Raw genomic sequence first — 23,053 nt, forward strand, 5'->3', positions numbered from 1 at the left:
GATCAGAAAAATTTCAAACAATGTAAGCATTAAGAATCACATAAACTATATAGCACTTCAATTTGATATTGTGGAATTCAGAGTGTGGATGGTCTATGAAGCTTTTAAAAATACTATTCTGTAGATATAAAAATACTAACAACAATTTTACTCAAAGGAGCACAAAAATATATGCAGTCTTCCAGTTATATTTATTAAATCTTACTAAACTTATGTGAAACTGAAATAGTTAACTTTTTGAGAATAGACAGAGGCAATAAAAAAATTTGCCTAAAAACAAACCTTATGACATTTTTATCCATGTCATAAGTCTTACTGGAATGCAATCTTCTGGAAGGCAGACCTCAGGTCTAATACATTGTTTTTCAATGCCTGTTATAGTGATAGGCACTGCATGTATGCCTAAGTAAATGGTGACTGTTCCAGTCACTGCTATTGATTTAATATAAAGGGGAGTCTTCAAAAAGCTCATGGAAAGTGCATAATATGAAAAAACTATGCATGGGTTTAAAAATGTTTGCCCAAAATACATTTGTACTAACTTGTAACCTATCTGAACAGGATCTAGTTTGAGGCACTAAGAAGAATAAGGTATCTATTTAAAAGAGCCCTTATTAAAACAACATAAATTCTGCTAAAATTGAAGCAAGAACAAACATCAAATTCATGGTGAAGTTTGGTTGGAAGAATGGTGAAATCATTAATGCTTTACAAAAATTTTATGGGGACAATGCTCCAAAGTAATCAGCAGTTTACAAATGGATAACTCATTTTAAGGGACAAGAAAATGTTGAAGATGAAGCCTGCAGCAGCAGACTATCCACACACATAGAATTTTTTCTTTGTTTATGCCCTAATTGAAGGGGATCGATGACTAACAGCATGAACAATAGCCAACATCACAATCATTTCAATTTATTTGGCTTACACATCTGACTGAAAAATTAAAATTGAGCAAATTTTCCACTCAACTTCATGGGTACAAAACCATATAACCTAGATCAACTATAGACAAGAGCAGAGTTTTCAATGGAAATTTTAATTTAAACAAGTGGGATTGAGATCCTAAAGCTTTCTTTGAAGAATTGTAACAGGAGATAGAACATGGCTTCACCAATATGATCCTGAAGATAAAGCACAATCAAAGCAATGGCTACTGAGAGGTGGAAGTGGTCCAGTCAAAGAAAGAGTGGACCAGTCAAAAGCAAAGGCCATGGCAATAGTTTTTTTGGATCTTCAAGGCATTTTATTTGTTGACTTTCTGGAGGACCAAAGAACCATAACATCTGCTTATTATGAGAGTGTTTTGAGAAAGTTTGCCAATGCTTAGCATGGAAACATCCAGAGAAACTTCAGCAGAGTCCTTCTTCACAACCACAATGCTCGTGCTAATTCATCTCATCAAACAAGGGCAATTTTTCAAGACTTTCCATGAAAAAGCATTAGGCATCCACCTTACAGTCCTGATTTGGCTCTTTCTGACTTTTTTGTTTCTTACTCTTTAAAAATCTGTAAAAGGGGCCAGGTGAGGTGGCTCATGCCTGTAATCCCAGCACTTTGGGAGGCTGAGGCAGGTGGATCACGAGGTCAAGAGATCGAAACCATCCTGGCCAACATGGTGAAAGCCCATCTCTACTAAAAATACAAAAAATTAGCCAGGCGCGGTGGCGGGCTCCTGTAGTCCCAGCTACTTGGGAGGCTGAGGCAGGAGTATCACTTGAACCTGGGAGGCAGAGGTTGCAGTGAGCCAAGATTACACCACTACACTCCAGCCTGGCAACAAAGCAAGACTCTGTCTCAAAAAAAAAAAAAAAAAAAAAAAAGGAAGAAGAAAAGAAAATCTGTAAAAGGTACTATATTAGTCCAATCTCATGCTGCTATGAAGAAATACCCGAAACTGGGTAATTTATAAAGAAAAGAGGTTTAACTGACCCGCAGTTCCCAGTGTCTGGGGGGAGGCCTCAGGAAACTTACAATCTTGGCAGAAGGCATCTCTTCACAGGGCTGCAGGAAAGAGAATGAGTCCCGAGCGAAGGGGGAAGCCCCTTATAAAACCATCAGATTCCGTGAGAACTCACTCACTATCGTGAGAACTCACCCACTCTCATGAGAACAGCATGGGAAAACTGCCCCCATAATCGAATTCACCTCCTATGAGGTCTCTCCCACAACACGTGGGGATTATAGGAACTACAATTCAAGATGATATTTGGGTGGGGGCACAGCCAAACCATATCAGGTACTTATTTCCCTTCAGTTAATAATGAAAAAAAGACTGCATTGATAATGATTAAATTCCCGGACCTTCAGTTCTTTAGGGATGGACTAAGATGGCTGGTATCACGGCTTATATGAGTGAGTTGAACCTGATGTAGCTTATGTTAAGAAATAAAGTTTACATTTTCATTTTTATCTTTCAATTATTTTCTTCCATGAATTTTTTGAAGTTCCGTCATATTACCCTCCAAATTTAGTAGTTTGTAACAACTATTTGATTATGTTCATTGGGCTGTCAGACTCTATGAGTCAGGATTTCAGAAAAGGAACTGTAGGGATGGGTTGTTTCTACTCCATGATGTTCTGAACCTTTTCCGAATCTAGAGATAGTGCAATGGGTGGGGACCAGAAAGCTTTGAAGGCTCATTTGCTCCCATGTCTAGAGCCTGAGTTGAGGTGACTCAAATATGGAGACTCACTAACCACAGCACCTACACATGCCTTCTCCATGTGGCTTGACTTCTTCACAACACCATGGCCTTGGGGTATATGGACTTCTAACACAGTAGCTCAGGGCATGAGTATTGTAGTGCACAAGATGGGAATTCAATTCCCTTTTATGGCCCAGCCAGATTCAAGGGGAGGGGAACTCTTCATGAGAGGGTGGCATATAAGACAGGAAGTGCTATTATAATCATTTACCATCCAGTCCTGTTCTCTACCTATTACTTGTACTTTTTCTACCTTGTTAAATTAAAAAAGAAATAACTGTATGTCTTTACATAGCTTTATTACTCAAATATGGTGAGGTGGGTGTGTTTTGTTCTAACTTTTAAAAACTATATATAATTTTTTAAACTCGATCTTCCTTAAAGATTCCAGAACACCTCCACTGAATGAATGGGTTGGAATGATGTGTCCTTCTGATGAAAATCACCACTTCGCCATTGATTTCTCAAATGCCCAGTAATCAGAGGAGGAACAAACATACATTAATCTCATTTTTCACAAGAGGATATTTTGTATCTGACCAGAAAAGGAGCTTTCCAAATATTTGGTGAATTATTTGAAACATTAAAAAAAAACTTTAAAATAGGCTTATAGAGTTTATTTGAATTCTTTAGTTGTTTATGATATCTTTTTGGCCATAATCTTCAAAATTAGATCCAATGGAAGACATTTCAAAATAGTAGGATACTATATAGAGATAATTTATGTTCAGGGTAATTCATTTCCCTAATGACCTTTTCCTTGCAAATTGCACAAGTTTGATTTGTGAACTCAAAGTATGTAAGCTTTAGTCTCATATGAAACATAACAGTCATAAAATAAAAATTTCTTTTTCCTCTTTGACAGGAAGACTTCTTAGTTTCTCTCTATATTCAATTCTCAGTTAAGAGCTTTCCTTGTTGAAGGCTGAGTATGAGTTTTCCACTGCTATTGTCAGCTTTTATCATTTATTTGAACCAAGGTCTCCTTAGTACATTAGTTTATCTTGACTGTCAGTAAGAGATACTGACAGTTTCACCTTCACAAGTGTTTATTAATTTTCTTTTCTTTTTTTCTAAGCATAGACTGGAGATCAGTGACTACTTTTTTCATATTCTTATCATACTGATGAACTTTTAAAAAAATTCAAAACATATATGGCATAAGGTCTTTTAAGTGATGACTCTTCCCCAGAATATTACAAATAGTACCCAATTTATTAATGTTGAAGATGTTAAATGATTCTCCTCTATTGACTATATTTTATTTTTTATTTGTTTTTTAGCTGAAAGAAATATAAGAAATACAACCTAATACTGTAATGAAGTGTTCCTGAACAAAAATACAGATAAGCTGTTTTAAAATATTATCTTTATTTGTATGCTCATATCAGGATAACTCCAACTAAGGCAATTTGTCTAAGTAGCTCATTTATTTAAAAAGAAAAGTAAAAATAGCAATGAATTATTTGCCTCTGACATATTTGTGAAAGTTTTTTAAGAATTGTGCTGGGATGGGAAAGATGCCTAGGAAGCATTTTCCCTAAGAACATCAGGCTTCTTACAGCAATTTATACACATGTATGGTAAATTATTCTCATTGCCAAAGATGGTTATTTAGTATGGATAGATTCTCCAAAAACTTACAAGACATCATCATTCATCTGAATCTCTTCCCTGCTCCCCACCATTCAGAATTTGTTGTAATTTGTGAAAGAAAAGTGAAAGAGGCAAGAAGAGTGAAGAGCTTCAGATTTAACCACTCAGAGTATGGGTTCAAATTCTGCAATCTGCCTCAAAGTAAATATGTAAACTCTTAAAAATCATTTGACTTTAGTGGCCCTCAGTTTCCTTATCTGTAAAGTGGGTTTGATAATACCTGCTATGTATTAAAATATTTGTTTGGGTGATGACACTGTTTACCAAGGTAGATTTATTAATACCTTATTTTAAAAAATCATTATTTTTTTCTTTTTGTTTTTGGAGATAGTCTCACTCTGTCACCCAGACTGGAGTGCAGTGCCACGATCCCAGCTCACTGCAGCCTCGACCTCCCGGGCTCAAATGATCCTCCTACCTCAGCCTCTAGAGTCACTGGGACTACAGGCATGTGCCAGCCACCATGCCAGGCTAATTCTTGTATATTATTTTGTTAGAGACAGGGTTTCACCATGTTGCCCAGGCTGGTCTTGAACTTTTGGGCTCAATCCACCAGTCTTGGCCTCCGAAAGTGATGGATTACAGACATGAGCTACTGTGTCTGGCAGAAAAGTCATTTTCACACTTGCTATGTGGCAGAACATCCAGTATCTATTGCTCTCTTTGCAGATAAATTATTTTGTGCCGAAAGCAACAGCAATTTCTTTGGCAGAAAATGTGATTATGTTATATCAGTAGATAATCATGTATCTCATGTAATGCAAGCTGTACAACTAAACATGAGAGGTCACTTCCCAGCTTCCTTTAATATGTATTTGCTGTATTGTCAGCTATCTCCTGAGAGATGATAAATATCACACACAATAGATGGAAGATGACAAACATGGAGACAATGAAGTGAGAAACCCTTAAAATCAAGAAAATTGTACTCTATAACTTAATAGTTTCCTGCACATTGGGGAAAGGTCTCTGTTATTCAGCATTAGCACAAGTATCCTTTAGACAACTTCACTGACCAAACAGTGGCCCCCAAACAGCTTGAGCAATACAGCGTGTGTTGATTGATGAACACATCCCAACAGTATCTACTGGGCACCTGCAATGCCCGCACACCACACATTGCTTGTGCTCAGCTTTCAATAGACAGCGCAGGTCAAGCAAGTGAATATGCGCTGAGTTGTTTGTTGTTGTGCTGTTTTAATAGGTTTTGGTTTACCTCGCCATGCAAAGGTGGGTGAAAAGAATGACTGAAATCTATTTTGTCCCCACCCTGCTTTGTCCTCTTTGGGTCTCTATGGAGAAGAATGGACAGGGAGAATTTAGGGTAGCTTAGAGCCTCCCTGTCTCATGCAACTGATACTCAGCAAGGGAAGCAGTGACCCTCAAAACCCAAATTTTGAGTGGCCAGGCCTCCAAGATCAGACAAAACGAGAGGAAGAACTATCACAATTGTCTACAAGTAGCAGTGTTCTTGGCTTGGGCCCAAAATACCAGGAATATTTTCATTAATAGGGACAATGATAAATAAAATAGGAAGTGAGATAAGAGGTCATTGCCTAAGGAAACAAGGTTTTTCTTCTCATTTTTACAACTCTCCAAATGACCCACAAAAGGAAGTGCAGGCAAATAATATTTTAAGTTCCAGAATGCACTTTCACTTTTCCAAGCAGGATTGCCTACAGATAAATCCAAGAGGGAGGTCATTACATTGAATGGAAGATATTTAGAATAGGCGGCTTCGCCCCATGTAAAGCAATTGTAAGCCTTTCTTTGTGTTTTAGAAGTTTTTAGATAAATAGTCAGACTCAATTAAGCTCTATAACTTCAAGAGATGGTGCTTCTAAGGAGTTACACAGTAGGGACTGCAGACGTGGGATTCTGCGGTCTGTTAACAGGCCTGTGGGAGGGCTGAGAGAATCAGCTATTGTGCTTCAATCAGCAACAGAGCCTACAGTGCCACCGTCAATTTAACCATGGAGCTTTAGAGTGTGGATGGGGACAAATGGCTGTGTGAAACAGAACTTGAGAAAGGGGCAACACATTTAGTATGAAAGAATTAAGGGTTTAGACACAAAGACAACTACAGAAAAATTTTTTAGAAATAGGCTTAAGGTTTGAGGATTGACAAGAGGAGACATGGCAAACGTTGCTGCAGCTAATCTCATATTTGGTTAAGAGCATAGGTCATAGAGCCAGACTGCCTGGGATTGAGTGCTGGCCCATAAATTTAACTACTGCGTAATCCTGGGCAAGTTACTTCCACTCTCTGTACCTGCCTCAGTTTCCTCATTTGCCACGTGAGGCAATTATAACACTATCTACCTCACATTGGCTTTTGAGGTATTCAATGAATTAACACATGTAAAGTTTTTCCAATGGTCTCAACAGTTTTGAAAAAGTGCTCAATATTTAACTAACACTGTACCCAGAACTTCCCCTAGTAATAAGTAGTATTTACGTAACACCTACTAGGTGACAGGACTTATGCAAAGTAATTTATGTGTATTATGCTTGCACTTAATAACTCTATGGCATAGATACTATTATCACCTCAATTTCACCCATAATGAAATTGCAGCACAGAGCAGTGAAGAAGCTTGCCCAAGGTTACACAGCAAGTCAGTGGTGCTATCAGCATTCAAATCCAAGCAGTTTGACTCTAGGCATGACACACTTCATCACTGGGCTGTACTACCGTTAAACTTGCCATAGGAAATAGTGGACACAAACAATGTCCTTGCTTTTAAGTCTGTTTCAGTGGGTTTAGGCTTCTCAACAACAGGGGTTTTAGTGAATTTCTTACATCTTCCTAGTACCTTGCAGACCACCTTGGCTGAAGTGCATATTTGATTAGGTAACTGGCTAACTGGTTTCCTGCCCTTTGTTAATTGCAGGTGCTAAGCTCTATGACTCCTGCCTGTATCCTAAAAGCGCATGACAAAACTCATGCCATCCCTCATGGAGCAGTCCTCCTGACACTGCTATAGTCCCCCGTCCCTCACTGTGTCACCCCTCCCCCATGTCCCAATAAAGGGACAGTCACTGGTCTCTCTGTTCATTCACCTTCCCTGTCGTCCATCCTCTTTGCAGCACTCCCACTCCATGGCCAGCATGGGGAGGATCACAGGAGACTTTATTAAAAACAATAATGGAGGAGACAAGAGAAATAAAAAGGAGAGACAGGCCGGGAGGTCCCTTTGAATCTTTTTGTCTTGCCTGGTCTGAGGGCTGCCTTGCCACCTCTGCTTTCCTGCTTTTAATCTCAGAAGTCTCTAACGTGCAGAATGAGCAAAGTGGGGGTTGAAAAAAGCAAACCATTTGGAAGCCAGAAAAAATATTAGAACTTTCATTTCTAAAACAATAAGAAAGTTAATAATAAATTCATATAAGGCCTAACATTGGAGCCTTCACACCATCAGTATATTAAGCGGCCGTGCGTCATTCATCTGCTAAAAAAAAAAGAAAGAAAAAGAAAAAGCTCCAGAGAGCTAAAGAAATTGATGGGGCTGCCTCACTTGATTGTCCTCTTTCAGCACATTATGATATAGCACAGCTTCAGTGTATTTGGGAAAACGGACTCATGGATTATTTTATATAGTTTAAACTAAATTAATATTTACAACATGGACAAGTGTCTTAAAAAACACAAAAATACTGGCACATGTGTACAAGAAAATAGCAGTTCTTGAGATTTCTATTCTTGGTAAGTGCCATGTATTAGAAGTAAAAAAACAAGGTTAGCTAAGTAGATCTAACAAATCATCAGAGAATTTTGAAAATATCAAAATTCCTCCTTGAAATTCAGATTTTCTTTCACTATTCTTGACAATGAATTCTGCTTGAAGTGAATAGTATCCTTTACAATATGAGGCAATCATCAAATACTACATTCTTAAGGTAAAAGTAGATAAGTGTACACTATCATACAATTGTATAATTAAAGGATTAGATAAATTATAGAATTTGCCGCTAATTAACCAAGAGTACTCTATTATCTTATCAAATTTGTGTCATGTGAAATATGGGTGGGCCTCAGTATTTTAAGAGTCTAAAACAATCTGCATTTGTTTTTGAAATTTACAATTGGTACCCTTAAACTGCTTTCTGTAAGGCAGATTTGGATGTTCTTACAACAGCTTGGCAACAAATTCAAACTATCGAATGTAATGTTTCTTTGTGCCCACCAGTAGCTAGGTTTGGGCAGCTTTACCTAACTAATATTTGATTATTTGAAAGTTTTCTTGCAGCTATTTTGAAACTATGTTCCTTTGGACATATGGGATGCCCTGCGGAATGCTCTTGGAGGGCCAAGGGAAGAGGGTTTAGAAGGAGGCCTCACTCCACTTCTTCTGTAACCTCTCCATTTGTTTCTAGATATTAAACTTCTGCGGAATAATTCATTTGAAAATCAGGTTCGATTGCCAAGAATTATTTAAAATTCATCAGTTCATTGATTCAAAAATATTGTCTTTATTATTGACATTTTAAGTTATTAAATATTCAACTTATTCAATAAACCCATTCATTTATTCTACAAGCATTAGAACAACTATAACCTTATACCTTTGTTCTTATTATTTAAAAACTGAGTAGAATTAGAAAATAATAAGAAGACTGATAATACTGGTAATAAGGTTACAATTCTCACCCCTTATATCTGTGCAATTAAAATAAGGTGGATGTCAAGACCTGCTGGGTGGGGCAAACCTTGAGCTACAATAAAAACCTACTGAACTTTAATCTAGTCAGCTCTATATCAAGAGTGAAGACAAGAACATTGTTAAAATGTTTTATGAAATCCTGGGGCTATCTTTCATCTTTAAGGGTTTAGAGAAGAACTATAATTTGGGATTTTAAAATATTTATTGGTTCTCTGGGAATGGAAAGTCTCCAATAATCTTGAAGGGTCAAGCATTGTAATTTAACTTATTTAACCTTCAGAAACAAAGTGGAGACTACCAATAAAGCATACTCCTTCCTAATGAATAGAGCTACACACGTCACTAAATTTTACAATATGCCATCCTTCAAAATTATCATAAGCCATTTCGTTGAAATTTATAGTAAGTTTACCTATCTGATGCCAGTGAGTTTGGTCGCTTATAGGTACATATTACTAGTGATTTAAGATATTCAGATTTTTTTCACTTGCATTTTATTCATATTTCAGCTGCTGATTTACTTCAGACACACCTCAATGCCTGTGCTAATTTGCATGTTTTTTCAAGAGTTCAACACAAACTTAGGAAACACATTCCTAGATAGACCTCTAATAAGTGACCTGCACAGTCATGTAGTATAGTATAAACAAGTAACAACAGTTATCTTACTCTATATTTTTCAGTACTTACTGACAAAAGAAAAGATCTTCATAGGCCTAAATGCATTCTGGATGAAATTATTAGCTACTTTCTCTGTTCAAAATCACCTTTTCATTTGCTTGAAGGAAAAAATTCAGATTATTTGAGCAGACAACTAAGACCAAATGAATCTAAAGCTCTCTCACTTCTAATTATTTCGAATTAGATAACAGTATTCAGGTATAGATCCTACATGGAAATAGCCTCCAAATGTAAAGAGAAGATAATCCATGGAGGGCGTCATTCTTTAAAAACCTCTTTGATAAGAGAGGGGGCACATCTTTTGTACACATTGTAAGAAGATTTAAACATGGAGATGCCCTCCCTCCCTCAGACCATGGGGCCAAAACCAAAGGGGGTTTGGAATTTCCCAACTCCACCGCCAAAGATAATCTTGTATTGGGACAAAAGTCGAGGATGACTCAGAATGTAATTAGGGTTGTGCATCTAAGCAAATGACACAATATAGCTTGCGGTATTAAAAAAAAAAAAAGAAGAAAAGAAAAGAACACAAGGCCCAGGAAAAGGCTGCTAATGTATCCACACAGAGACAAGGCTGTGGCAGAATGAAAACAAAACCTCCTTAATTAGCAAATTATAGCACAGGGGCTGATAAAACTCTGTGTTTTGTAGCTGAGCTACCCACTTATCGCTCCTCCCCTCTCATCATCTGCACAAGTGAGAGCACTTCTAATGTTTATACTTAAAACAAATGACAGGGGGGAAAGGTTTCTAATAAGAGGCTGAGCTGAAGCCCCATTTCTAAGAAAATAGAATGGCTCTAGTGTTTTGTCAGCATTCTTGCTAATGCCACAACCAACAGGATGAAACAGGCACATAGCACAGAAGATCCTGTAGCCCAGACTTGTTTATCCACAGGCTGCTGGTCTGTATTGTTATTCAGGTGCTTTTTTTTTCTTTTCTGATATGTATCTGCTTTAGGAATATTTCCCTGTTCTTGTGATGATGGGCAGGAGAAAGAAAAGACATGAAATTCCCTTGTTTGTGTGCCTCTAAAATGTCACCTCACAGCATGTCCAGACACCCAGCCAAGAAATGGCTTAGTCAGGCTCTCTGCCAACTGGCATGAACCTGAAGATTACTGGGCCTCCTGGAGGGCGATCTTTTTCCCACACAACAAACCTTACAATCTACCTTGCAATGGTCCCAATACTAATACTAATTCCTCTTGCAATATAGGGCAGGGGTCAGCTAACTTTTTCTCAAAAGGGCTGGATATTAAGTATTTTAGGCTCTGTTGCAACTCCTCAATTCTGCTTTTGTAGTATGAAAGCAGCCATAGACAACACATAAATGAATTAGTGTGGCTCTGTTCCAATAAAACTTTATTTACAAATGCACGGACAACATATAAAGGAAGGAAAGTGGTTGTTCTTCAATAAAGCTTTATTTACAAACAGAGGTGGCAGGAAGGATTTGGCCCAAGGGCCATCGCTTGTTGACCCTTGATAGAGAGGATGGAAACTCAGAATATTAATAAAATTTCTGCCATTATGTAGTTAAAAAGGTAATATGTAAAATATAGTTGCATCAAATTTCACCCATCAATTTGATTATAGTCCAAATCTGCTCATGGACTTCATTTATTTCCCTATTTATTAAAAAATAATAAATAGAGCCAACTATGCTGTAAGCATTGTGCTAGAAAAGTCAATCTGCTACCAGAAATGATTAAAAAAAAAAGAAGAAGAAATAAAAACTAGTGAACAAGACAGGTGCATCATGTACCTCATAGAGCATAGTGTCTATGAAAATAGAGAGTCGCTCATTCTGCAAATATTTATTAAGGTTCTACCATGTGTCATCCACTCTTCTAGGTAGAAGGTATACTGCATCAACGAGATAGACAAGGATGCTGCTCTAATGGAGTTTGCATTCTTAGTAGGCGGAGATAGAATAAATAATCTGACAGACAATAAGTAACACAGCATTATGCAGTAGCAAGTACCATGAAGAAATAAAACAGTATAATAAGGTAGAAAGTCTCTTAGTAAAGTGGGGAAGGTGGTAGGTAATGGTGCTCAGAGACTTTCTGAGAAGACTGCTGAGTGAAGACCTGAATGAAGAGAAGTAGCCAACCATGCAAAGATCAGGGGGAAGAATTTTCTGAGCTGAGTAAACAGCTTGTAAAGTCCCTGAGGCAGGAATGAGCCTGTCTGTTGGAGAAATAACAAGAAGGCCAATGTCACTTGAGTGTCTGGAATGTCGTTTGAAGGTAGTAAATGATGGGGCCAGTGAGAGGTGTGGGGCAGATCATATAAGACCTCCTGGTAAGAATTCAGATTTTATTCCTATGTAATGAGAAGTTGTAGGAGGATTTTAAGGGGGGAAATGACATTCTTATTCATTTAAATTACATTAAGCCAATACCTTTATATGAGAGGAGTGCTATTAAAAGAAAGCTCAATGTGAAATGGTACAGTCAGGGGTAAGGAAGAACTGTAATTGCCCATAGAAACTCATAGAAAAGGACCTACTTGTCATAGCCCTAAAACCTGAGCTCTCTCAATGGAGACAGTTTACCAAAAGGCTGTTATAACACTAACTGCCTAACTTCTGGGTCTGAAAGGGTTTTTTTTGGATCTTTTGATTCTAAAATGTAACAAGCAACCAATAATACCGAACTATTTGTTGAAAAGTTAATACAGATTCTGAAGGGCTCTTACTTGGCTTGAAAATCAGAGGTCTATTCTTCAAATGAAGTTGATGGGGACATTTCTACAACTCGATTTAAAAGATCATTATTTCTATTAATCTTTCTCAGCAACTGTTACTTTTCCCAATCTCTAGGCATAAATTGTGCATGTATCTTATTTTCACGTTTAGTGACAAATTATTAAAATCATACTTACTAAATATCTACTTTATTTTTTTTGAGATGGAGTCCCGCTCTGTCATTCAGGCTGGAGTGCAGTGGTGCGATATCAGCTCACTGCAACCTCCGCCTCCTGGGTTCAAGCCATTCTCCTTCCTCAGCCTCCCTAGTAGCTGGGATTACAGGCACACACCACCAGGCCCAGCTAAGTTTTTGTATTTTTAGTAGAGACAGGGTTTCGCCATGTTGGCCAGGCTGGTCTCGAACTCTTCACCTCAGGTGATCTGCCCGCCTTGGCGTCCCAAAGTGCTGGGATTACAGGTGTGAGCCACCACGCCCGGCCAATATGTACCCATTTCACACATTTAGGAAGTTCCCACAAATGTGAAAATAAAACATAAGAGCATTCTCTCTGACTGTTGCACAGCCACCACCGGCCACCAAAACAATAATATACCAGTGAGAATTAAGTTCTCATGTGCACATATTATACAGATGTATATTAATATAATTAAGTTCTCATGTGCACATATTATACAGATGCATATTATTATAATTAAGTTCTCATGTGCATATAGTATACAGATATATACATATTATACAGATGTATGCAGTAAATGGCTCCCTACTGTACTGAACAAGAAATACTAAGTTCTTGTGCTTATAGAAGTACAAAACATTATTGTACAAAGGAATATCTAGCTGACCCTCAAGTAGCCTAGTGCTAACATTTAAGCAGACTTTAGCATCTTAAAGTAGTTACAAGGTCCCTTAATTTTCACTATTTTATAGTTACCACTATACACTTGAGCACTTGATTTCTTAAAAACTGATTATTACAATAACAAAAAATTAATCCAGACCCTTAATGAACATGTTCAGAGGTATAAAAATGGATAAGCGACATTTACTACACTTGAGGAACTCACAGTCTAGGTGGGAAAACAAGCCTAGAAACAAACAATTAAAACAACCACCACAACAACTTTGAACTACAGCATTAACATGATACAGTCAATGTACTGTGATGACATTTGAGAACTCAGCCTGGGAGGGTAAGTGGAGTGTGGGTAGATTTCCTGGAGAAACTGGCAACAGAGCTGACCCTTAAAGAATAATTAAGAAGATGAATTGGAGTGACTAGAGAAGTTTTTGAGATTCTAGATTACTGGTTAAATATAATTTGAATAATTAATAACCACCTACTCTGGACCCAATATTGTTTTAACTAGTATTAGGACAAAAATAACCATAGGTTATAGTCCTTGCCTATAGGACAACTTACAATCTATTGAAGAGGTAAGGTGTATACCTCGAATAAAATGCTGACAGTAGACAGTAAAGTGCAGAATGCAATAGATAATGCATTCATTTTTTCATTTAACACATATTTATTGCATATCTGTTATAAATATGTTATATACTCTTCTGGGAACTGAGGTTATGACATTGGACAAACACACATGGTCACTGGCCTCATGGAGGTCACATTCTAATGGATATTAATAGGGATTAATATATATGTAATATATGGGTTTAAAAAAATCGTCATCATCAATGTGTTTTGGGTAATAGCATTTCAAATCTTAACTCTGAAGAAAAGAATACAATATGCAAATAGGGGACATCCTTAACCAAAAAATGTTGTCAATAGAAAAACAGCTAAATAGTCCAGTAAAATCTTTGTATTTCTTAAAATATTCTGGATGGCAATTCATAACTATATTTTCCATTAATAGTCATCAATTTTAGCTAGTGTAAAATATGTATAGCAAATAGACTATTGTTTTCTGTTACAAGGCATTATTGACTCAATTTATTTAAACTTTTAACAAAAAAAGACATCATTTGGCAAAAGCAAAACAGATCTTCTAAGGATTCCCCAAATCTTAGAACATTATACATATTTAAATCTAAATATTTTAAATGTACATCTTTGTGAACTTTTTGAGATGTGGGAGACAGAAAACAATAGTTCACAAAGTACAGGATGTGGGCTAAATGTTTCACTGTCATAGAGAGGTAGGGAGAGATCATAAGAAAGTGACAAAGACACAGAGGCCAGCTGTATTTATCATTACTTATCTAAGAGCTGGTCACTCTCAGGTATTTACTATGACTTGCTAATAATTCCAAAAAGAGCTGTATTACAGAAGAGATCAAACCAGAAACACACCCAGGTGTTTCACAAAATAAAACTATGATGTTAGGCATATTATTCACACCACCCTTCCTGGTCTGAGATGTCACAATAATGCTATCAACCTACCTCATTTTAATCGACAAGTGATTATGGAAAGTTGATTTCTTTGAATTAAATCCATCACATCAAGAAAGCAGTGCCATAACAGTTCCAGTATTTATGGTGACCCACAAATCATTTGCCCCCTTGCATGCCTTGCTTCTCATCCTGTTCAGTTGCAAGACCAGAAAAGTTGAGGAAGGAGGTTTCCCTTCATGGAAGGTGATGGATTAACATAATTATCATATAGCTTCATTTAGAGTTGATAACACATCTATTCTGCCTCAAAACCTTTCCTGATAGCGATGCCATGAGCTGCATAATAATCACTATGCTTTGATTAATTATTTTGCCAAATAAATGGATAAATTAATTTCACCTACATACACTGATAGCCTCAGTTTCTGCAGGGTGTTGCTTCTTCCTATGGCAACTACTTGGAATCAAAATAGAAGTAATACAAATTGCAGTACTGAGCATACCAAATGGTTACAGTAAAAAGATTTCCATTTCAATTATCAGAATAAAAATATCACATGAAGTTTAGAACTTGGAGTGAAGAAAACTCCTAATTAAGGGAAACTTATGAAAGCCTTTAGCAAGTTCTTTGCTGAATGCATTTTTTGGTTTCTTGATCCTCCAACCAATCACATTGACAATGACAAAAGATATGCAAATTTAAACTGACAATAGTCAAGCCACATTGCTCTGACTCATACCAATAGGGACGTTTTCAGCATATATTCAGCTTGATTTTTACACTTGAAAGGGTGAATGTAACCAAAGAACATTTTAATAGTTATTCTTGGCTATAATCTGAAAGCTATCCCATAATCATTGACCAAGAACAATGCAAACAAGAATCAAATTTATTTTGCAAAATAAATTAACATATGAAACACGTGCATGATTTAAGCCCAGCAGAATTATGTGTTTACCCTGTCACTGCTGAATAATTGCATAGCAACAAGAAATATGCATTACTATGTTTGAATCACTATTGTGATTATACGCTTTAAGCAAACAAAACATTACGTTTTTGGTAGAATAGATCATTCAGGATAACTTGGGACTAAATTTTCCTTCCCGTTCCCTCAAAGAATCCAGACTAATATGTAATGATTGAATTCTCACTAAAAACTATACGGATGGTGTACTGAAGAATAATAACAAGCTGTTCAACCAAAATCATTTGTTTACAATGGAAATAAATTTTACCAAAGAAAAATACAAACATCCTATTATAAACTACTACTGAAAGTAATGCATAAAATTTCAGCTACAATTGTAAAAAACCTGAGAGTTCTGTTTGCTTTTTATTCTTCTGCCTACCTACTGATTGCCTATTACAGTCCTATAGTCTGTAATAGAAAGATTACAATATCAGCTTTGGAAACTGTAGAACTACTAAGTTCCAGTTAATGTGTCAAATAAAATAACAGTGATCTTAGTTCAGTCCCTAGTGGACAAAAGTAGAATAACTATTACTTGGCATGATTCAGCAGGCAATGACCTAAGTGAGTGTGACCACACAGGAACAAAATAGAGCATTTGTCCTTTCCCTATCTTTTATCTTTTTAAAGGGATTGCCCGGTTAACAGACTAACTTAAAGAAGCCTGATTGCATACCTATCTACATGTACCAAGTGAATCCATTAACAAGGGAGAGAAGCTTTTCACAAATTGAGACATTGCCTCCCTTCTAGTAGCATAGTCAGTTGAATATACTTATTCTCGGCTGCCTATTATTAAACAGAGTGCAAAGACAGAATGAATTGCAGAAGTGTGTTCATAATTTAATAGGCTTATCTTCAACAAAAACTTAAATGGTTTGTAGATAAATAACTGGATAAACTATTCGATTTGATTTCTATAAATTGAGATTACATTCATACTCAACATTAACATTCATCAAATAACATGGATACTTAAACTCGCCAGGTACTGTCTCTAACTACAATGCCCTGAGAAGGGAGGTATTTCAGGAATATAGTAGACTACATGCTGCGTTCAGCCCATATCTGCAGGTGCATGTCTTCCTCAACAGCCAGCATGCCCTCATCGTGAGCGAGCAACCCCTTTCCGACAGTTAACATTACAATGTATCTTTTTAATTTTTTTTCTCAAGGACAGAAGAAAAAAATATTTAACAGAAATCAGTCTACTATTCTACCACTTGCTGAAACTAACAGTTCCCTTTACATAAATATACAATTTCTCCAACCAAATATCATATTTTATATTTACTCTCACTTCATGTTAATTTTTATAAAGGTTAAAAAAACAAATACTTTGTGATGATTTGCCACCCCAGCGGCACAAAATTTTCTGGTGCAAAATCGATTTGATCTTATTAATTAATATTGTCATTATTATTTATTTTTCACCAACTTGCTTAAGAGGTACATACTTTCTTTCTTAAGGTAGTGTTTTGACAGAGAGAACCTTAATGCTGAACTTTAGAAAAGAGAAACCAAAAATGTCATAAAATTTGCCAGGGCTAGACACACAAACGGGGTGCCCCCACACATTCATAGGTTTGGGCAAGCCCCCAAACCTTGGCTTACCCAGGAAGCCAAACCCAGACAGCCGTCTTGCAATTGCAAACACTGCCCCCCTGGAGCAAAAGGTAAATACACAAATGCTCCCCTAAGGAACTTTAAGTTAGCTGCAGTGCAAGAAAGGAAAAAGGTCCGTGCTATTAGAAACTGAAAGCAATCACTTACTTTTTGCAGCCACTGAGTATAATTTTCCATCACATGTTCCAGATGTTGAAGTTTCTGGGAAGAGAAATCCGGTTCCACGTGTGGAGCATCTCTCTGCAGAGCGTTTGTGTTGTACTGGTCTGTCGTACTCTCACGACAGTTGCCATCGTGTTCTGGAAGAATGAAAGTGTAGGCACATTGCCCATGTTGAATCCGGTTATATCTTCTCCCACTGTTTTCTGGACTTCGGCGCTGATTGCTGCACCCTATGTGAGTCAGAATGGCAGCGAGGAAAGCAAAGGAAAGGAAAACTGTCATTGTACTGCCAGCACACTCCTTCCGTGCCTCTCGCAAAACTTGCTCCTTTCTTCTGACCTCTAAAACTAGTTCTTTATTTCAGGTAAAACTGCTTGTTTGTTTGACTCTTTCCCCCTCAAAGAAAGCGTTTGAAGAAGAATCATAGAAAACTAGCCATTTGTTAGCTTTGTTCTAAAATTTTAAAATTTTTTATTTCACTGCAATGATGTTTTTCTTCGTTAAAACTTGAGATATTTATTGCATAGTAGCTGAGATTTATTGTTTCCTCTCTGTGTGACCGTTCAGCATGGAGCCTGCCTGAGTCAGCTGCGTGTACATATTCTAGACCCTTTCCTCTACCCTATCTGCTGCAGATCTGCTATTTTCTCCCAGACCTCAGTGAGTTTTATTAAGGTTGCACATCCAAGCCAAGCTGGAAGCAGGCAGCCTTTCACAAGATGACTTGACAGGAATGCATGAGTGTGCCCCTATACTAAGGATTGCTGATGGCTTAGGGCGGCGGGATCGTCTTACAAATTGGCTAGATGCGCATGACCTCGATCATGTATGGCCCTCCCGCCCCTTTCCACAGACAATTGCCTTGAGCCTTTAGCAGATTCATGGCAAATCAATAAATAGAGCAGTCCACCTTAATACACTTTTGGTGTGCATGCTGACCTACTAAAATATAGCAAACTAGCAGTATGTTTTTAAAGTTACTATTTAGTCGAGGGACCCTAAGAAGAAAATTGGCATAATGTCCAATGGAATTATTTTTGATAGAGAATGATAAACCCATATCATTATTAAATGTCTTTAAAAAACATGTATTCTTGACTCTGAGGAAAAATATGTTAAAAAACAGTTTTTACAGATGGTATTCTTTCATTGTATTCACTTAGACTTTTAGGAGTTGAAGAAAATAATCAGAGAGGATCAAATTAGCAAGAAAATTAGCATCATTTGTTGCTCAAAGCAATATGTTGCACAAAGCAATATAGTATGTGCATATTAAAGAGGGTTATCTAAGTACCTTTTGGTATAGGGTTCTTAAATGAAACTGGTGTCCTGATCAGAATGCAACCCTTCATGTTCTGTGTATATAAATTGAGCAACTTCCCTACAAAAACAATGTGGCTACAATTTAAAGCAGTGGCTTGAGAATTATTAATTCCTGTGGTATATCCTAATCCTGTATTTTACAAGGATCTCTTTGGTGGCTATGGCTGTCTTTAACACTGGTGTGGAAGTTCCACATAAAAACCTCCTGTGGCTGCACAGACATACTATGTGAGAACAAGCATATATCAGGTGTGCTAACAGCCAGCAATGGGCTGTACAGGAGACATCTCTGTGCTTCTGTGAAGGAAGAAAGAAAAATTATCAGAAGATGATTTCCCACAGGCAGCGTATAAACATTTGAACAAAGGGACCCATAAACATAAACAGGCAATAATTGTAGAATTTAGGGAACGGCTTTGAGATCTTTACTAGATGCAGAAAACCTGAATTATGAGTTGGGATTTTCATTAGGAACTGGGAGGGCTTTTAGACAACTGCAGTCATGGTGTGAAAACAGAAGCCACAGCTGTCATCTCCCATGTCTTGGAAGGAGAACAGGGCAGTGGGTGAAGGTCCGTAGTGGTTAGAGATGGGCATTTAGGGAGAAGTTAGAGGAGAGGTCAAAACAAATTCCAGAACAAATGCGATTTACTTGGGGAAAGAAACCTTGCCGAGATTCATCAGTCCTTTCCACACCAAATAACAAATTTCTGATTGGACAGATATGGAAGCAAGTTATGCCAAACACAGCAATAAAATATTTGAACCACTTTTGCAGCCTCTTGAACTTTTGCGTGTCTCCTCATTGAGTCATGTATCACTCCTGTGCAACAATAATAATGGCATGCATTAAGACCTTACTGTTTTCCAGGCGAAGCACTCCTTACACACTATCTCACTTAATCATTCCAACAAACCTAAGATCACGGATATCATCCGTTTAACCCCATTTTATCAATGGGAAGACTGAGTCACAGAAAGGCTAACAGGATGTAATTCACAGAGCTGGCAAGTGATGGCGCCAGTATGTGAACTCAGGCAAACTGACTCAGAGCCTGTTTCAAACCACCAGGCCAGCCTGCTTTTGGAAATCTCTGCAAGGAATGAAAGCAATTTCAAAAGCGCTCCAGCTGCATTGATTTACAGTCCTAAACCAGGAGAAGTGACGTACCTAGAAGAAAAAGCACTGTTAAAACCAGAGTATCTCTCCAAAGTGATTCAGGCCTTTTCCAGCACACGCGTGCGCGCGCACACGCACACACGCACACACGCACACACACAGTGACAGGTAACCTATGCACAGCCACAAAGATGAAGTGCACTGGCAAAATGCAGGTTGTCTAAGAACACTTTCCAATAATGCTTGATTTGAAAATTATCCATGGAAAGAAGAGAGTCCAAACCCGACACCTAGAAGTGTTTTGCGAAGAACTAAATACAGCAGAAAATTGGCAGAAGACTAATGGATGAGTGGTGAGGTTTCTATTAAAGTGCTCCTGTGTTTTTAAATAGCCGAGACTGTTAAAAATCTGTTCCTCCACGTGTGTGTCTGTGTACGTCTCTGTGTCCTTATCCATGTGAATTTTCGCAATTAGAATAAATGAAAAGCAGGAATGCACAATTTCCTGAGGGAAAAGTAGACACTAAGAAAGAGAAGCCTGAAATGCAAATAAAAAAGGAGGGGTCGAGGGACAAAGAGACAGAGAAAAATGTAGAGACTGATTTATTTCTTTTGCAGAAAAACAAAATCAACCTTAAACCATAACACTGGAAGTACTAGTGTCATTCTGAAAAAAAATGTCTGAAGATGAATTTTAAGTAATTAGAAAACACAAGGATGTGCAGAATTGACTCCGGTGTTTTTGGAACTCCAGTTAAGGAGACTGTAGGTACATTTAAGGATCCTGACACACTAAAGATAATATGTCTTTGGGATCATGCATCTAAGCAACAGCAACACTGTTGTGTGTTGCTGATTATTCAGAAATGGGGCAGAATTCAGGATGCATTAAAATTTAGGGAGTAGGGCTGGGTTCAGTGGCTCATGCCTGTAATCCCAGCACTTTGGGAGGCCGAAGTGGGAGGATCGTTGGAGACTAGGATTTTGAGTACAGCCTGGGCAGCATAGGGTGACCCTCCCTGTCTCTACCCAAGATAAAATAAAATAAAAATTAGCCAGGTGTGGTGGCACGCCCAGGACCTGTGGTCCCAGCTACTCAGGAAGCTGAGGTGAGAGAATCGCTTGAGTCCAGGGGGTTGAGGCTGCAGTGAGCCATGATTGCCACTGCACTCCAGCCTGGATGACAGAGTGAGACCCTTTCTAAATAATAATAATAATAATAAGCGAGTAATAAGAACAAGCCAATTAAAATTCATCTACCACACCTCCATGAAGGATAAAATATTTATAAAGAACTAAACAATTCTGTTCAATTGAATTCTGTGGTAGCTTGAACCCAAAAGCTTTGTGTTTTATTAGAGATCTGGAATAAGGAAGTGTAGGCTTTAAGGTTTTGATCTCATATTTACAAAGAGTCCTAGTAAATGTCCCACTTAGTCTGAAATTTCCAAAGGGACCAAGAGCCATTTATACCAGAACTTAATGTGCCTAAATCTATCCTAAGAAACAGTCTTTGATAATTCTTTGGTAAAGCTTTCTTAATTTCTCCAGGTCCAATAAATGCTCTCTGTGTTAAATTTCAATAACCTTCTCCTCATGTCTCCAAAACTGCACTGCTCACGTTGCTTGCTAATTGTTGCCTTTTTTTTTATCTGTCTCTTGCTTTTGCTGTGAGCTGCTAAAGTGATCTTCTCTTTGTCATCATTGATTCCTCAACATTCACTATGCACTTTGTCTGAAGGAATGAAAGAATAAGCAAATAAATGAATGAGCTGATTAATGACTCAGTTGATGCAACTTCCTGACTCTCTATCTGGTTACTACATGACTGGCCACATTCATTGCATTTGTTGGGTGAGTTTGCCTAGAATCCCTAGGCATGAAGAACTGAGGATAAAGCCAAACTTATTCTAAAGAATGAGTTAGACGCAAGAGCAAAGTACAATAATAATTCATAGTATTTTTTAACACTTAACAAATAATTTTCTCATCTAATGTTTACAGAACCCCCATAATTATGTAATATTATATATTATTATTCCCATTTTGCTGATGAGAAATGTGGAGCCATAGAGATTAATCGCCCAGGATCTATGATCTCTTAGGAGGCAGAACAGGAATTTGATCCTCAATCCATCTAACTGTGAGGCTCACATTCATTTCCCACTGAGCTATATTGTTTATGACAATACTTCAGTATTGAGAAAATATTTCTTATAATTTAGGGAACAAGAACAACATGGTGACTTCCCCCTTCAGAGGTCCCTTTCCTCTGAAACCCAGGGCTTTCACAGATTCATGTTATGATCTTCCAAAACAGGGATAATATTAAATCAGGATGCACCAGTATGGTAAGATATGCTTACCAACAGCCAATCTGATTAATCGGATTATACTTTAGAAATATTCTAAATGGTTGGTCCTATGCCATGTCATCTGTTAGATATCTTGATCATCACTCCTGCTCTACAATAAAATCAAAATATATGAAAAAAAATAGTATTTATTTCTCAAAAATACCACCAGGCAATGAGATTCAAGGAAATAGTCCTCTGGTATTTATACAACCACTTATAGGGGAAAAAGGGGTGGGAAAGTATTCTCCTACTTTGTGTTCTGAACACAATGTGATTCACCACACCAAGGGTGCCATATTCTGTGACTCTGCTCAGGCACTTTTAGGGATCAAGACTATCATCAGGCCTATAGAAGTGGCAGCTCTATCTAAAAGGAGGGAGGGCACTTGGCTGTAGCTCCTGGAAGCAGAGCCAAGACACCTTCACTCAACTATGTAGGCAGCAAAGGTATCCACAACAGTTGGAAATATCACAGGGGACAAAACCAAAAACAGAAGAAGATGGAGGATATCATCTGGTAACTGAAGGCACTTCATGAGTACATGCAAAATATCCATTTAGAACTCCCAGAATAACTGGGAGGATGCTACAAAAAGCTGGAAACACTGCAGCAAGTGGGATGAGGACTGGAGGCATATAGATAAGTGAGGAAAATAAAAATTATCATATAAATATTCCTCTGTCTTTTGATGACAGAAATTTCTGGTAAT

The 23,053-nt window shown here is 37.6% G+C and overlaps 1 protein-coding gene across 3 annotated transcripts in view, besides 1 other annotated feature; it reads right to left on the reverse strand.

Annotated features, from left to right (window-relative positions):
* ANGPT1 (angiopoietin 1) overlaps positions 1-18,185 on the reverse strand; it is a 248,437-nt gene extending 230,252 nt beyond the window's left edge. For all 3 annotated transcript variants that reach the window (NM_001199859.3, NM_001146.5, XM_047421699.1), the window contains exon 1: positions 17,529-18,185. In NM_001199859.3, the coding sequence (NP_001186788.1) occupies positions 17,529-17,825 (297 nt within the window). In that variant the 5' untranslated portion in view covers positions 17,826-18,185. The remainder of the gene's footprint in view (positions 1-17,528) is intronic.
* Positions 21,684-21,884: a silencer, noted in NCBI's record as "peak7144 fragment used in MPRA reporter construct". NCBI's record gives its function as "represses an SCP1 promoter by STARR-seq MPRAs in K562 erythroleukemia cells {active_cell/tissue: K562}" and the evidence as "EXISTENCE:reporter gene assay evidence [ECO:0000049][PMID:32103011]".

Source organism: Homo sapiens, chromosome 8 (genome assembly GCF_000001405.40).
Source record: "Homo sapiens chromosome 8, GRCh38.p14 Primary Assembly".
In the NCBI taxonomy this organism is placed as follows: Eukaryota; Metazoa; Chordata; class Mammalia; order Primates; family Hominidae; genus Homo; species Homo sapiens.